We start from the raw sequence: 17,812 nt of genomic DNA on the forward strand, positions 1-17,812 counted from the left end.
GCCATTGGCACGAATTCCAAGGGTTCCCCTACATCTCTGCATCACTCCCGCCAGATGCAAAGCCTAGAGGGAGCATGTGGTTGGACAGGAGAGGGTCATGTGCTTGTGCTGAGAGTGTCCTAGCCCGGACTGCTGTTCCCAAACATCAGAAGGGCTCTGAGATGTTGAGCTCCAGAAAACATAACGAAAGTCCTCTGTAGTCACTGAATGCTGTAGGGATATTGGGAAAAATCTTTTAACCACTTTGAGCTTCAAGGTTGTCCTCAGCAAAGATTCATTAAATTGAAATGGCATGTTTTGAAAATATAAACCAATAAGAAACAACCTGATTATAATACGAGGAGAAATTAACATGGGCCGAAATGACTTGAAACAGCACACGTGGAAATGTGTGTTGATGCACCTGGATGGACGGCTACCTCTCAACCTGGGATGGGTCACAGCCACAGGGGCACACTCCTACAACCAGATCATGGAAACCGGCCCGCAGGAGATCAGCCAGACACCGGAGTTACCAGATGTGGATCTTTAAATAACCACGGTTCAAATATTAAAGGAACTCAACGAAATGATGGGAAATTTCAGCGCCAAACTGGCAAGTATTTTTAAAAATGATGACTACAATAACTGTCATTAAAATTCAATGGCTAGATTTAGCAGTAGATGACATAGTCTTTAAGAATTAGTCAAGAATATCAAAGAAAATATCCAGACCGAAGCATGGAGAGAAAAAAGATAGAAAACACAGACAAGAACGTAAGAGACATATAGGACGCAGCAAAAAAGGTTTAAAATATGCGTAGGTGGAATCCCAGAAGGAGAAGGAAGAATTAACGGAGAAAAGACAATATTTAAAGAGATATTTAAAACAGATTAAAGACATCAAAGCCATAGAGTTGACAATAAGAGGAACTTCAAGCAGGAGAAATATAAAGAAAATGAAATTGAGGCATATTGTAGTAAGGGTGCTGAAAACTGAAAATGAATAGAACATCTTAAAAGGAAACCAGTTGTTGGGGAGAGAGTATATTACAATCAAAGGGACAACAATAAGGCTGACACTAACCTTTACCAGAAACAATAGAAGACAAAAGACGTGAAATCATATCTTCAAAGTGCTGGAAGAAAACAGCTGACAACATTTTACAGCCACCAAAACTATTCTTCAAATACTAAGGTGAACGAAACATATTTCCAGACAACAAAACCTGAGATAATATGTTACCAGCACACACATACTAAAAAATGTTTTTTAGACAAAAAAAAAAAATGATCTCAGTGGAAGCATGGAAATGCAGGAAGAAATAAAGAACACTGTAAAGTGTAAATATTATAGTAGATAAACCTAAATTAATACTAAATTAGTGCTGACCATGTACATAGTAATAATATTAATGTTTTGTAGAGTTTTAAATAGAAAGAGAATTTATAAAGCAATAATAGTACTTAAGGCAGGAGAAAAGAAATTAAAATGGTGTAACCTCCTTAAATTTCCCGGGAAATGGTAAAAGACCTAATTTATGTTAGATTGTAATAACTCAAGGATGCATGTTGGAATCTCTAGGGTTAAAAAATTAGCATATATGTAACAAGCTAATAGAGGAGTAAAATAAAGAGCAATTAGAAGACAAGATAGAAAAGAAAAGGAATCTAAAACAAAAATAATCAATAGAAAACAAGTAGTAAGATAGATTTGAGCAAAAATTACCAGTAATTACAATAAATGTAAACAAACTGAAGAATCCAATTAAAAGATCAATTTTTTTCAAAATGGATTTAAAAAGAAATAACTATATACTGTGTATAAGAGATACTCCTTAAATATAAAGTTGAAGAAAGTTTGAAAGTGGAAGAATGAAAAAAATATAAATTGTAAACTGAACAACAGGAACTTGAAGTCAGATTTAAGGAAGACCTTCCTAACATTAAAGAAAGACGTTGGAATGAGCTATTGTGGAATGTTTCCTGGATGTATTTAAGAATAAAAGAAAAGTCTCATTCTCCTTCCAGAAACAGAAAGCTAGTCTTCCTGTCCATCCAGGTTTCTATACTATGCCTGGGAAGAACACGGTTGGTCAATAAATAATAAGTCATTCATTATTGGAAATTGATTAGTCATTTGTCATATGCCTGTTTATACTGCATCCCTAAGACATATAATTAAGAAAATATTACATGGAAAAGTTCAATTTTCAAGTTAGTCATAGCACCTTTCCTCCCTACCAATATCTACTGGCCCTTCTAGCCTTGACCTTTTCATTTTTGAAATATTCTACCACCTGACCTGGATCAGTATTAAGGTTGCTTAAATCTCTGGCCAAGAGTGATCCTTTTCCATCTGGGACCCTGTTCCATCCTTGGGTTTCTAGCCCAACAGTGGTTGCCATAGGTATTGCCCTCCTCAGTGTGGAGGGAGGTCCCCTCCCATTGCCCACCACCCCACCCACCTTTCTCTGGCCTGTGTTTTTAGGCCATTTTATAATCCTGTTCCTTGGCTTGAACCCAGGGCCTTGAGTTAATGGAATTCTGATTTCTCCTTGAGGATCATATCTCAAACTCTGCAAATATGGCAAAGGGCTAACAATTGTTAAACCCAGGTGATGACTAAAAGGGTGTTCATTGTGTCCTCTCTACCCTCCCTATTCGCTCCAGTTCTCTGAGTTTACAATGACTTCAAAGAGCTATGATCAGGCCACAGCACTCCAGCCTCGGTGACCAAGCGAGACCCTGTCTCAAAAAAAAAAAAAAAAAAAAAAAAGAAAAGAAAAAAGAAAAGGTCAAAGAAGAAGAGTGAAGAGCATATCCCCTAACAGGGCTGTTGTAGGAATCAGAGAGAATTAATAGAAGCTTCTTATCTCACACAAAGTCATTCCTTATTGGTCATTAATAATTGTTTATCAGCAGGGCATGGTGTCAAGTGCACCTGTAGTCCTAGCTACCTGGGAGGCTGAGGCTGGAGGATGCTTCAGCCCAGGAGTTCAAGGCCAGCCTGGGCAACACAGAGACACCACATCTCCAAATACATGCGTATATACATACGTACATACATATTTTGTTTCTCAACCCGTTTCCCAGCCTTTCGCTGAGGGCAGAATATTAACAATTAAAGGGCGAGACTGAGATCAAAGAGTTACAGGCTTTTAAAATGTGCGTAATAGATCAGTGCGGAAGGTTGTATCCCGGGGTCTATTTACTTTTTCTCAAGATCTGGAAGCCTGAGTCCCCTCCCAAGCGGTTAAGAGGCGGGCTTGGGCGCCCTCTAGCGGTGATCTGTGGTAACCGTTCCCTACTCAGCGGCAGCGCCTTGAGTTGAAAATGCATTTATAATGACGGAGGGATGCTCATGATGTCATTTTCCAGAGTCGAGGAAGGAGCTTTGTGGTTTTGAGGGCCTCCTTCCCGAGAACCGCAGGTACCCTGCCAGGCTTGCTCCGACCACCACTTTGTAGAACAGGTCAGAGCAGCACAGTTTGCAGACAAAAGCCACAGCATGGCTGGGTGGGCAGTAGGCACTTCGGGACCTTACAGGGATTTCTGCTGAAATTACATTCTTTGAAAATGTGATCGTGATGGGAGATGATGGTGTTTTCTGGAATCTTTTTCATTAGCTCAGGGCAATGAATCTGTCCTACATAGACTGGCAAGGCGGCCATAATCCCCACTAAAAAAGGGTGGCACGGGATGCCCGCACAGGCTGTTTAGAACAAGAGACAGTGAGGGGATGCCAATGGGAAATATAATAATAATAATAACAGCATCAAGTACTGACTCTTCACTGTATGCCATGCCTTGCATTTAGCACTTGATACGGATTTTCTCATTTACTCCTCACAACCACCGTATCAGGTTGGCACATTATTAACCCCACTTTACAGATGAAAACACTGAGGTAGAGAGAGGGCAGGTAACTTGCCCTAAGTCACATGCCTTTAGGTGGCAGGGCTGGCACCTGAATTCAGCTCTTCCTGGATGGAGTGCATTGTGACAATCATCGTGCCTCTTTTAACTGACATTTCTTCTCACCCTCAAATTTCCTACCACAATAATCCTGTAAGAAAGAAAATGTCCATCCTGAAAGGCTCCATGTTGACGGATCTCAAGGCAGCGGCTGGGATGTAGCAGCCAGGAGCTGGCCTTCCACATCAGGATTCCTGAGGTTGGATTCTGGTCAGGTGCCCTGGGGCAAGCGACCAGGCATTTCTGAACCTCAGTTTGCTTATATGTAAAGAGAGGTTGGCAATACCTTCCCCAAAGGATTGATGGGAGGATTAAATGAATTACCATGTGGGGCCCACAGTGCACACTCAGTAATTGGCAGGCATTAGTAACGGCAGTGCCACAAGCAATGCCCTGCAGCCAACACTGCAAAAAGACAAGTCTGGCCGGGCGCGGTGGCTCACGCCTGTAATCCCAGAACTTTGGGAGGCCAAGGTGGGCAGATCACTTGAGGTTGGAAGTTCGAGACCAGCCTGGCCAACAGGATGAAACCCCGTCACTACAAAAAAATACAAAAATTAGCCGGAGAGGGTGGCGTGCGCCTGTAGTCCCAGCTACTCAGGAGGTTGAGGCAGGAGAATCACCTGAACCCAGGAGGTGGAGGTTGTAGTGAACTGAGATTGCACCATTGCACTCCAGCCTGGGAGGCAGAGTGAAACTGTCAAAAAAAAAAAAAAAAAAAGGCAAGTCTGAGTTAAGGGTCGAACAACAAGATGCCCTCGTATGCAAAGCCAGCTTCCCTCTGTCCTTAAAGAGAGATTCCAGTTCAGAGATGAACTAAAAAGAAGCCTCAGTGGCCTCGTCTCAGCAGGCATGAAAAGAGGTGTGAGGCCAGGGGCGAGCAGTGGCCAGCTGCAAAGACCCGTGTTAAATAACTGAAGCAAGGATACATCAGACTCTAATATGTGGTGTGGCCTTCAATCAAGGGAGCTCCTGTTACAGCCATGGGTCCTGAGGGTCTCCAGGGAAGGGCGGTGACTGTTGAGGGGTATAAATGTCAAATCTTTTCCCAAGTCAGAGGCCTAAGAGCAGCAGTGGCTTACAGGGCTGACATATATAGTTGCATAGTCTGTGCACTGCACAAAGTCACCCAGCTGAGGGGAGACCCAGAGCTGACATTTGGCATATGCTGTACTTCAAGCCAGGCACCCAGCAGAAGTCAACATCTGACCTGGAGGAAGAGGCGCCTTTATTTAACAGTTCTGCCCAAGGGGATCATGTCATTAAAATTAGCACAAAAAAGATGGTAAGTGCTATCAGAGTCCCTGGAGGCCTAACAGACTGGGGTTCTCCCAGACAGTCAACCACTGTCGGGCCTGGCTGTTGAAGGAACATCACCAGCCATCGCCTGGGAAAGGCTTGATGGAAGATGCTGGACCTGGTGTGGAGAGGGGCATCCCCATCTGAGTGGGTGCACAGGACTGGGGTGGACAGGCTCGGTGGGAGGGGCTGTGCAAGAGATGTGGGCAGAAAGGCGGGACCATGATGACTATGGGGATTGCAACAAACTGTGGATAAATGAATGCCTGCAAGGCAAGAAATGAAAAACTCTACAGAGATCAGTCACCTCCTCACGAACAAAGTACAGTTGCAATGTGACAACTCCCATAACAAATAGAAAAATACTGTGCTTAGGTGACCAGGGGGAAGGAAGCAAATCTGCCAGCCTGGGTTAGTGCTCCTGAGACCAGCACCAGCTTAGGACATTTCCTTCCAGAAATGTGCAGCCCCCGCCCTCCTGAGAGCCCCGAGACACAGGCTAACATGACCCCAGACCTAGGGTTGCTGGTGGAAGAGGAGGCCTCAGCCCTGGCAGGTGACAGCAGGCCTCACTCAGTCACCAGTGGAGGAAAGCAGGGCCATGTGGTCTTGAGGGGGCCACTCAGCCTGGGGCTTAAGACCGCACTATCCTGCAGGCCCTACATTCCAGCCTCAGATTCCTCTTCCATAAATGAAAAGAAGGGTGATATTCACTTTAAGGGGGAGTTTTAGAGATTGGAGATAAATGTCTAAAACCTGGTGAACACATAGCACACAACAGCCATTGTCCTGCAGGTAGGTGCCAGCCTTGTGCCCATCACCATCTAGTAAAACAGTTCAGAGCAGCACCACCTTGCAGGGAAAGGCCACAGCATGGCTGAGGGGGCAGTGGGCATTTGAGGACCTTACAGGGGGTTCTAATGGAATTACGTTCTCTGAAGATGTGGTAGTGGTGGCACACGCCACGCTCCAAGCCAGGCCTCCAGCCAGAGTCCATGTTCAATGTGGAGGAACGAGCTCCGGGTAGTCAGTATTGGCGTGAGACCACGCAGGCCTCTGTACCTAAGCGGGCTTAAAAATTATAAAATATCTGCTTCTGCTATAGACTGAATGTTTGTGCCCCCGCAAATTCGTATATCAAAACCTAACCTCAGTGTGTTGGTGATTGGAAGGTGAGGCCTTTGGGAGGTGATTAGGTCGTGAACGTGGAACCCTCGTGAATGAGATTAGTACCCGTGTAAAGGAGACCCCAAAGAGCTCTCTCAGCCCTCCCACCCCATGAGGACACAGCAAGAAGGCGCGATCTGTGGGCCAGGAAACAGGTTCTCCCCAGACACTGAGTCTGCTGGTACCTTGATCTTGGACTTCCAGCCTCCAGAACTGTGTTGTTGAGGCCACCAAGTCCGTGGCATTTTTGCCATAGCCCAAATGGACTAAGACACCTTCTTTGGGATAAAAACTGATAAAGCCAGGGTGTCACATTAAAAACAACGAAGCTCAGGCAGCCACGATTTGCCTGTGGACTATGTGAACTTAACAGAGTGCACATGTTGGGGGGCAGGAAGGTACTCTTGGCATTGAAAGGCTACTAACACTTGGCACTCAGCATCAACAGCTGACTTCCTTTACATTCTCCACCGGGAGACTTGCATTACAAAATGGGGCAGGTATTTCCCTGAAACCCAAGGGAGGCGGCCAAGTCAGGGGCACAGGAGCAGAGACAGAGGTAAGAGTTTCACTGAAGCAAGAGACCCTGGGGTCAGGGGCCAGCGTAGGCTTGAGATTGGCACAGGACCAGCACTGATGGGCTAGAGACACTCATGGGCACCAGCCTGGGGCAAGGCTTGAAGTCAATTCACTTATTCCCCACTGTGGCGTTGGTATCTCTGAGCACAGTAACCTTGACCTCTCAGATGGTCACATAAAGCCAGAATACAGGCTGGAGGCCGTGTATATGCAGAAGCCAGTGTGGATTTGGCATGCAAGGGCGCATGAGGGTGTCAGGGCTGCTGAGGCTCCAGTCACAGCCGTTTCTGCCCCCACTTCCGGGAGGGATCATGGCTTAGTGCTGTTGTTTGAATATTTGACCCTCCAAACTTCATGTTGACATTTGATCCCCAGTGTTGAAAGTAGGGCCTGGTGGGAGGTGTTTGGGTCATGAGGGTGGATCTCATACATGGCTTAGTGCCATTCTCTTAGTAATGAACCAGTTCTCACTCTATTTGCTCCCACAAGAGCCAGTTGTTAAAAAGAGCCTGTCACCTCCTCCCTTCCTCTTGCTGCCTCTCTCTCCATGTGATATCTGTACATGCAGCTCCCCTTCACCTTCTGCCATGAGTAGAAGCAGCCTGAGGCCCTCACATTGAAGCATATGCTGGTGCCATGTTGCTTGTACAGGCTGCAGAACCATAGGCCAAATAAACCTCTTTTCTGTATAAATGACCAGTCTCAGGTATTCCTTTATAACAACACAAACAGAGAGAAAATTAGTACCAGGGAGTGGGATGTTGCTATAAAGACACCTGAAAATGTAGAAGTGGTTTTGGAACTGGGTAATGGGCAGAGGTTGGAAGAGTTTGGAAGGCTCAGAAGACAGAAAGACAAGGGAAAGTTAGTAACTTCTTAGAGATTAATCAAGTCATTATGATCAAAATGCTGATAGAAATACAGATAGTAAAGGCCACACCCCAAAACTTTGGGAGGCCAAGGTAGACATATCCCTTGAGCCCTGAAGTTCAAGACCAGCCTGGGCAACATAGCAAAACCTCATCTCTACCAAAAATAAAATAAAATTAGCTGGATGTGGTGGCACATGCCTGTAGTCCAAGCTAGTTGGGAGGCTGAGGTGGTAGGATTGATTACTTAAGCCTGGGAGACAGAGGTTGCAGTGAGCCAAGATTATGCTGCTGGACTCCAGCCTAGGTGACAGAGTGAGACCTTGTCTCAAAAAAAGTAAAAAATAAATTTTTTAAATAAGAAGCCCACACTGCCATGTTCTCAAGATGGAAATAGGGAACTTATTGGGAACTGGAGCAAAGGTCCCCCATGTTACACCCTAGCAAAAAATTTGACTGCTTTGTGTCCTTGCTGTAGAGCTTTGTGGAAGGCTGAACTTAAGAGTGATGACCTAGGATATCTGGAGGAAGAAATTTCTAAGCAGTAAAGTGCTCAGACTACTGTGTGTTTACTTCTAACTTCTTACGGTAAATTGGTAGAGAAGAAGGAAACAGGGCATAAAAATTTGGAAAATTTGCAGCCTGGCTGTGTCAGAGAGAAGGAAAGAGCATTTTCAGAAGAGGAATCCAAGGGTGCTATAGAGCAATCACTTGCTAGAGAGATTAGCACAGATAAAAGGGAGCCAGGTACTAATAGTCAAGACAATGAGGAAAAGGCCCCAGAGGCATTTCAGAAATCTTCAAGGATACTTTTCCCATCACAGGCTCAGAGGTCTCAGAAGACAGAATTATTTTTGGGGACAGGCCCAGGGTGCTGCTGTACTGTGCTGCCTTGAGATACTGATACTGCTCTTCATATCCAGGCCACTCTGGTTCCAGCTGTGGCTCAAACAACTTCAGGTTATGTTCTGGCCAACACTCTGAAGGGCACAAGCTGTAAGCCTTGGAAGCTTCCACCTGATGTTAGTCTGCAAACACACAGGATGCAAGAATGGTGGGGGCTTGGTGGCTTCTACCTAGATTTCAGAGGATATATCTGAGAGCCTGGGTACCCAAGCAGAAGCCTATCATAGGGATGGGGCCCTCACAGAGAGACTCTACTAGCGCAGTGCTGAGGGGAAATGTGGGGGAGTTGGAGCCCCCACACAGAGTCCCCACTGGGACACTGCCTACTGGGACTGTGGGAAGGGGGCTGCCGACCTATCATTGTCAGAAGTAACTTGAGACCGTACCTGGAAATCCTGCAGGCACTCAACTACAACCCATGAAAGCAGCCACAGGGGATGTGCCTAGAAAAGCAATGGGACTAGGCTGCCCAAGGCCTTGGGAGCCTACTCCTCACACCAGTGTGCCCAGGGGCATGGCATCAAAGGAGATTATTTTTAAGCTTTAAGGTTTAATGTCTGCCCTGCTGGGTTTCAGACTCGCATAGGGCCTATTACCCTTTTCTTTTGGCTGATTTCTCCATTTTGGAATCGGAGTGTCTATCCAATGCCTGCACCACCATTGTATCTTGGAAGTAAATAACTTGATTTTGATTTAATAGGCTCACAGTTGTAAGGGACTTGCCTTGAGTCTCAGAGGAGGCTTTGAACTTTGATTTTTGAGTTAATGCTGAAATGAATTAAGACTTTTGGGAATATTGGCAAGAAATGATGGTATTTTGCATGTGAGAAGGACATGAGATTTGGGGTGCCAAGGGCAGAATGCTATAGTTTGGATGCTTATCTCTCCAAATCTCATGTTGAAATTTGTTCTCCAATGTTGGAGGTGAGGCCTAGTGGGAGGTAGTTGGGTCACAGAGGCAGATCCCTCATGAATGTCTTGGTGCTGTCCTCACAGTGCTGAGTGAGTTCTTGCTCTATTAACTCCCATGAGAGCTGGTTGTTAACAGAGCCTGACATCTCCCTGCTCTCTCTCTCTTTTTCTCTCTCTTGCTTCCTCTCTCACCATGTGATCTCTGCACACCTCAATTCTTCTTCCCTTTCCACCATGAGTGGAAGCATCCTGAGTTCCTCACCAGAAGCAGATACTGGGGCCACACTTCTTGTACAGCCTGCAAAACTGTGAGACAAGTAAACCCCTTTTCTTTATAAATTACCCAGCCTCAGGTATTCCTTTATAGCAACACAAATGGACTAAAACACTTAGCAACCAAGACTACTCCTCACTGGGGCTCTTTCAGGGTTCTACTCCTGCTTCACCAGGTCCCACTGGGTCTCCTTTAGGAGAAGCTTCTCCCAGCAGCTCCCATCCCACTAGGAGTCCAAAAAAATGGCCAAAGCTTTCAGTGGACTCAGGTCCTGCAGTATCATACACAAGGCCACTCAATGATCTCTCATCTGAATAGGCCCCAACACAACCAGCTCCCCCACCACCACCACAGGGGCCAAGCCTTCCCACTCTGCAAACTTCCTGCTCTTTCTGAGGAGGATGCTGATTAGACTCTGAGCTGTTTGAGTATGGAGTCTTATGATTTAGAAGGCAGTTTCTGCTTTATTCCACTGCGGCAGCCTCTGCCAATAATGGGACACTGTTGAGAGCTGACAGGCCTCTGACAAGCGCCATTGTTTTTTCATAGGAGTTCATGTGAAAATAGCTTCATATTCTAAGCTGACATATAGTCACTTTAGGTAACTAAACTAACTTGCTCTGTGAACAGTAACAGTCAGTGCTGGGCTTCTGTTCATTCCGTTGTTCCCTATTGTTCCATGGCAGGAAATGTTGTTCATGAAACCCATCTCTCTCCTTGGGCACACAACTGGATTATGTTTCCCAGCCTCCCGTGGTTAGGGTGGTCATGTAACTGGGCTCCAGCCTGGCCCATGAAACCTTCCTGTGTATGGGTCTCTGTGCTCTTTCCCCTTCTGCCAGATCATAAAAAAGAGCATGAAAATGATTTGCAGAAGATGGGGAAGCCACTAGATTAATGATCCTGGGATGCTGAATCACTACCTGAAGGAGAACCCTTCTCTGATCTGGAAACCAGTTATAAAGTAGGTTCATCATGTACTGGTTACCAACCAACTTGTCTGAGTCCAGCGAGACAGAACACACACATGTGCAACAAGTTACATAAAGCAGATTTATGACGTGCAGAAGGCAGCAAGGGACAAAAGAGCATAAGATTCACTGTGAGCCAGACCTTATATTAGTCCATCCTCACACTGCTATGAAGAACTACCTGAGACTGGGTAATATATAAAGAAAAGAGGTTTAATTGACTCAAATTTCTGCAGGCTGTAGAGGAGGCACAACCTGGGAGGCCTCAGGAGAGAGAGAGACAGTGAAGAGGCAAGTGCCACACACTTTTTTTTAACTTTAAGTTCCAGGATACAAGTGCAGAATGTGTAGGTTTGTTGCACAGGTATACATGTGTCATGGTGGTTTGTTGCATCTATCAACCCATTGTCTAGGTTTTAAGCCCCGCATGCATTAGCTATTTGTCCTAATGCTATCCCTCCCCTTGCCCCCAACCCCCCAACTGGCCCTGGTGTGTGTTATTCCTCTCCCTGTGTCCTTGTGTTCTCACTGTTCAACTCCCACTTATGAGTGGGAACATGTGGTGTTTGGTTTTCTGTTCCTGCAATAGTTTGCTGAGAATGATGGTTTCCAGCTTCGTCTATGTCCCTGCAAAGGAAATGAACTAATTCCTTTTTACTGCTGCATAGTATTCCATGGTGTATATGTACCACATTTTCTTTATCCAGTCTATCATTGATGGGCATTTGGGTTGATTCCATGTCTTTGCTATTGTAAATAGTGCTACAGTAAGCATATGCGTGCATGTGTCTTTATAGTAGAATGATTCATAGTCCTTTGGGTACCATTTGACCCAACAATCCCATTACTGGGTATATAGCCACACACTTTTAAACCATCAGAAGTCATGAGACCTCACTCACTATCACAAGAACAGCAAGGGGGAAATCCATCCCCATGAACCAATCACCTCCCACCAGGACCCTCCCCCAGGATTGAGAATTACAATTCAACATGAGATACGGGTGGGGACACAGAGCCAAACCATATCAGGCCTCCAAGGCTCAAGAAAGCTGTCCAGGGTGGATGGATTCTCAACTGTGCATGTCTCACTTGCATCACAGCTGAGGGACCCCCAAAAGGCAGCCTGCCCTGGGTTATAGAGCTCAGGGGCACATGACCCACTGGGCTAAAACCTTGAGGGGCATTCTACTTCCAGGGAAGAGAGAATCAAAGCCTTGGCTGCCCCAGGCATTTCCTCTCTAACTCAAGATGTTACATTTTCTAGGAGGAACAGGAACAAGGATCAGGCTGTTTTGGGCAGCCCATCTCAGGATGTTGTATTCTAGGCATATTCTACAGTTATTCTTAAGAACTGCAAGTATGAAAGGGGGAAGAACTGGGTCAGTCTGAGGCCACCCACAGAAATATCCTGCACCAATTTTGGACCTCAAAAGTCAGAAATAAACTTCCAAACTTCCAGCCAGATGCAGTGTCTCACACATGCAATCCCAGCACTTTTGCAGGCTGAGGCCAAAGGATTGCTTGAGGTCAGGAGTTCGAGATGAGCCTGGTCAACAGAGAAAGACCTCCAACTCTACCAAAATTAAAAAAAAAAAAAATAGCCCTGGCCAGGTGCAGTGGCTCATGCCTGTAATCCAAGCACTTTAGGAGCCCAAAACAGGTGGATCACTTGAGCCAGGTGTTGGAGATCAGTCTGGCCAACGTGGCAAAACCCTATCTTTACTAAAAATACAAAAATTAGCTGGGCATGGTGACTTGAGCCTGTAGTTCCTGCTACTTGGGAGGCTGAGGCACAAGAATCGCTTGAACCTGGGAGGCAGAGGTTGCAGTGAGCCGAGATCATGCCACTGCACTTCAGCCTGAGCAATAGAGTGAGACTCTATCCCAAAAATAAAAAATAAGTTATACAGGAATGGTGGTGTATACCTATAGTCCAAGCTACTCAGAAGGCTGAGGCAGGAGGATCGCTTGAGCCCAAGAGTTCAAGTCTGCAGTGAGCTGTAATCTTGTCACTGCACTCCAGCCTGGGTGACAGAGCAAGACCTCATCTCAAAAAAAAAAAAAAAAAAAAAAAAGGAACAAATTAGAGCAAGACTTCATCTCAAAAAAAAAAAGGAAGAAATTAGAGCAAGACTTCATCTCAAAAAAAAAAAGGAAGAAATTTTTATCACTTTTGAACCATGGCATTTGGGGGGTTATTTCTAACAGCAGTTGGCGTTGCTCTTAGTCTTCACCCAAGGCTTCAGCTTCCACTGTTTGTCACAGATCACATTAACCTAGATGGGAACCTAAGCTTCCCCTGAACTCCTGCAAAAACACCTCTCACAAAGCATCTGGGTTTGGGGTAGAAAGGGCCTCAGGACTTGTATCACAGTGATGGAAATCGTTCCATACTGAATATAAAATGCCCATTTGGAAATGTCTTTTGCCTGCTGTGTCGCCAGAGAATTCCCACCAGAACTCCCTTTACAATATAGGACCTTGACCTCTGCATTCCCCTGGCCCCTTATGGACTCCAAAATTTATTGTATTGTCAAAGTACAGGAATCCTCTATCAAAGACTGGGTAGGGCCTTGAAACTGAAGTTTAGGAAACATGTCCTATTTTTCTCTTTTTCTGCTGTGACATACTATGTTTTCTGAGACAAATGAGCATAGGAAATGGTTCACCGTGGTACACAAAATAGTGGGCTCCCAAAGATGTCCACACCTGAATCCCTGGATCCTATTAATATGTTGCATTATATGGCAGGGGCTTTCTAGATGCAACTAAAGTTAGGGACCTTAAATAGGGAGATTATCCTCTATTACCCGGATGGGCTCAACCTAAGCACATGAGTCCTTAAATTAAGCAGAGAACTTTCTCTGGCTGGAGTCAAAGTAATGAGACAGAAAAGGAAAAAGAAAGAGAAATTAAAAGCTTGAGAGGGTCTTCTCCCCTGTCCCCCTCACCCCCACTTCCAGTTGCTGGAAGGGGTCCCACATGGGATGCACTTGAAGTAATTTGGGCAGCCTCTAGGAGCACAGATTGACTCCCGGATAACAGCCAACAAGGAAACAGGGACCTCAGTTCTGCAGCTGCAAAAAACTGAATCTGCCCAAAAACCTCAATGATATTGGAAGCAGATTCATTCTCAAAGCCTCCAGAAAAGAATTCAGCCCTCCCAACATCTTAACTCCAGCCTTATGAGATTGATAGCACCCCATTTCATTCACCAGTCTGGGCCCCTGTAAAAATCAACAGGATCATTTGGGACTGTAGTAAACTTAACCCCGTGCTAGGCTCAATTGCAGCTGCTGTGCTAGCGGTGATAGCTTTACTGCAGCCAACACAGACTTAGGAAACTGGCATGCAGCTTTTAGTCTGGAGAGTATGTCTTTTCAGTCCCCGGCAGGAAGGAGGATCAGAAGTTGCTGCAGTCACTTGGAACAGACAGCAGTACACATTCACGATCTGACCTCAGGGCTGTGTTAACTCTCCTCCTTTCTAAATAGTATAATCTGAAAAGAACTTGATCACATGAACCTTCCACAAATCATCATACTGATTGTATTTATGACATCATGTTAATTAGACCTAGAGATCAGGAAGTGTCAGGTACTCTGGAGTCCCTGAGAAAACAAAACTGTCCCATAGGGCAAAAAGTAAACCAAAAAGACCCAGAATTCTGCCAGGTGGATGAATATTTTCAGAGTCTAGCAGTCTTAGATGAGCTGAGCTATCTCCTCTGAGGAAAAGAACAAGTGATTGTGCCTTCAGCCTCCTACCACTGAGAGCAATACTCCACGGTGAATAAGCCTCTTTGGATTGTAGAGACAGCACATACTACACTTGAGAATATCACCCTGACCTCAATTTGGTGACTCAGAAAGCTGTAAGTTTTGAGTAGGGCTCAGAGTGAGATTGGACTCTGCAGTAGCAAACTGTGGTATAAACAGCCCTCCCCCGGGCTGTGTAATCTGACAGATCCCATGTGCTAGGAATATCCACAGGTGTTAAGGATGATATGTGGAGCTTCAAGAGGAGAGTCGCTGCACAGATCCTTAGTATTCTGGAGGAAGGCTGTGACACCAGAGGCAGAGGAATAGCTACCATTCAAAAACTCAACCCTGCAATGCCCTCCTAGCCATTGAATACCTGCACCTGAGACATCAAATGACTGTGAGCAGGAGCCACACTAGTATTGCCAGGCGCAGCAAATCAGTGTCAGGCAGACACAGCAGCAATCCATTACATATAGGACCGGTCAGGTCAGTGTTTGATTGTCCCACACCCCATAGCCACACAGCGCAACTTAGCAGCGCTCAGTTCAGCCCAGAGTCCTTCCTGCTTTCTCTCCCAGTCTTCTCAGCAGCTACTTCAGACTTGTGACCATCTCTTGAACCATCTCTCTCACTCTCTTCCATTCATTTTCATCAGTAACCTTAGAGTCCACTACCCTTTGAAATAGATAATCACCGTCGCCCTCCCTCATCTCCCATTCACTCCTTAACCTACTGCTGTCTTTATTCCATCCCTAGCTCCATGGGAATGGGAGCTGCCTTCATAAACAAAGAGCCCAGATTTCCAAAGCCTTGTGTAAATCCTCGCTCTTTTTTCTTTTTCTTTTTCTTTTCTTTTTTTTTTTTTTTTGACTGAGTCTCACTTTGTCACCCAGGCTGGAGTGCAGTGGCGCAGTCTCAGCTCACTGCAACCTCTGTTTCCCAGGTTCAAGTGATTCTCCTGCCTCAGTCTCCCAAGTAGCTGGGATTACAGGTGCCCACTACCAAACCTGACTAATTTTTTTATTTTTAGTAGAGACGGGGTTTCACCATGTTGGCCAGGCTGGTCTCGAACTCCTGGCCTCAAGCAATCCACCCGCCTCAGCCACCCAAAGTGCTGAGATTACAGGCCTGAGCCACCACGCCCAGCCAGTCCTCGCTTTTCTGACTCTTCTTTGCATTTGGTTTTGTGGATTCTCCTTGCCCCCTTTGAAACACTTCTTCCCTGATGCTGTACTCTTTTGGGTTCCCCTCACCTCTCTCAGTCTGTTTGAGGACTGGCTTCCTCTCCACCACTGCAGATATTGACAGGGAAATCCCTGTCCCTTAATTCCTAGGTGCAGACATTCTAAAGTGAGACCTTTGGCAATAAAAGATTCTAACACTGGGTATTAGCAAAACAAAGAGGGATGGATGCTTTGGCCAAGGTGATTGGGTGAAAGGGCAGACGCGGTGTTGAATGTTTGGACTTTTGAGAATTTCGACTTTTAGTGCCCATTTTTTTCCTATTATTTTCGCATATCTTTTGGTCTTGGGGTGTCCTTTGCTTAGAAAGCACTTAGGAATGTGAAATGGGAAAGAGAGAGGCTCAGAACAGTGACCCAGAACCAACAACCAAGAAGCCTGGGAGCTATGGTCCTTAAGAGAAAGAAAGGAAAGACATATTATCCTCCAGCTGTTCAGCCTAGCTTACTAGGGTAGGAAGGAGGCAGGAATAGAGGGAAAATGCCATTATCAGGAAAAAAACACTGGCCATATGGCCAGGTGATCTGCAGTGCACTCTCCCTGCAGAATCTCAGCCTTGTAGACGGGCCCTAAAGACTTTTTTTTTTTTTTTTATGAGCCAAGATGGAAACTTACTGAAGGTGCAGCGTTTTGTTTCTTTCATCTTTTGAGAATAATTATGCTTTGCTATTCTTTTTGTCTCTTTACTCCCTACTCTGTTTCTTACATTCATTGATTTATGAAAATAATACTAACTGAGCATTATCTACTCCAGGCGTCCTCAACCACAGAAGTCATAGTGGTGATTAGGGCCGGCATGACCTGGCTTCTCTTCCTTCCTCTCCTGCCAAGCTCCACGCCTGATTCTATTTCCATTTCTAGCTCCATTTCTCCCCCATTCAAATCACCCCATCCCTCTCCCTCCCTATGCCTGTAATGCACTTTTCACCCAATCAGCACATACATATTGAGTGCCTCTGGTGTGGCAGACACCAATTGGGTCCTGGAGTACAGCAGTGAACAAACAAATAAGTTTCCATCTTTCAGAGGCCTCACACACTAATGACCCTGAAGAACCTAGACAGGTCAGATCTCAAAACATAGTAAGCACCAAAGACAGTTCACTCCATATTCAGATTGATTTGGAAAACAGAGTGAGCTGACCTCCAGGCTGGGGAGACAACTTGGTCCAGCTATTGGGGACTGCAGAGAGCAGAAGAGAAGCGTGTGTGTGTGTGTGTGTGTGTGTGTGTGTGTGTGTGTGTGTGTGCGTGCGTAGGAATTTCCCTTCTTGAGAGACCCTATCAAGTCACTAGACTGGTAGAACAGATCAAAGACAGACATAATATTTCTGGTTTTCAGGAAGACCATTTCATAATATTTCAGGGAGAATGTTATCGTCAAGATGAAGTAATTTGGATTGTGTATGATTCAGGTAAGTGTATTAATAGCTGCATCTGTCATATCCAAAGACTGTTGATTAAAGGATTAATGTCTATTAAGAAATAAAATTATTTTTCCATTTGGTCATTGAGTTCTGTCTTTGACACTGTTCTGATACACACAATTTCCAAAGATGTCAATGAAGACAACCTATATACCAGCAGGCGACATACCTGTGGATGGAGCCACAGGTAGGCCCCAAGAAAGATGCCTGTGCCACTTCTTCAACATTGTACAGCAGGTTCTAGTCAGAGCAGTTGGGTAAGAAAATCAAATAAAAGCAATTGGAGGGTAAGAAATATAGCCATCTCTGTTCACAGATTACATGATCTTGTATACAGGAAATTCTAAAAAATCAACTAAAAACTAATCAGACTAATAAATGAGTTCAGCCAAGCAGCAGGATACAAGATAAGAGGCAAAAATAAATTGTATTTCTATACATTT

At 45.1% G+C, this 17,812-nt stretch overlaps 1 annotated feature.

Annotated features, from left to right (window-relative positions):
- Positions 3,194-3,343: a silencer, noted in NCBI's record as "silent region_5191". NCBI's record gives its function as "represses an Ori minimal core promoter by ATAC-STARR-seq in GM12878 lymphoblastoid cells {active_cell/tissue: GM12878}" and the evidence as "EXISTENCE:reporter gene assay evidence [ECO:0000049][PMID:35858748]".

Source organism: Homo sapiens, chromosome 13 (assembly GCF_000001405.40).
Source record: "Homo sapiens chromosome 13, GRCh38.p14 Primary Assembly".
NCBI classification, from domain to species: Eukaryota; Metazoa; Chordata; class Mammalia; order Primates; family Hominidae; genus Homo; species Homo sapiens.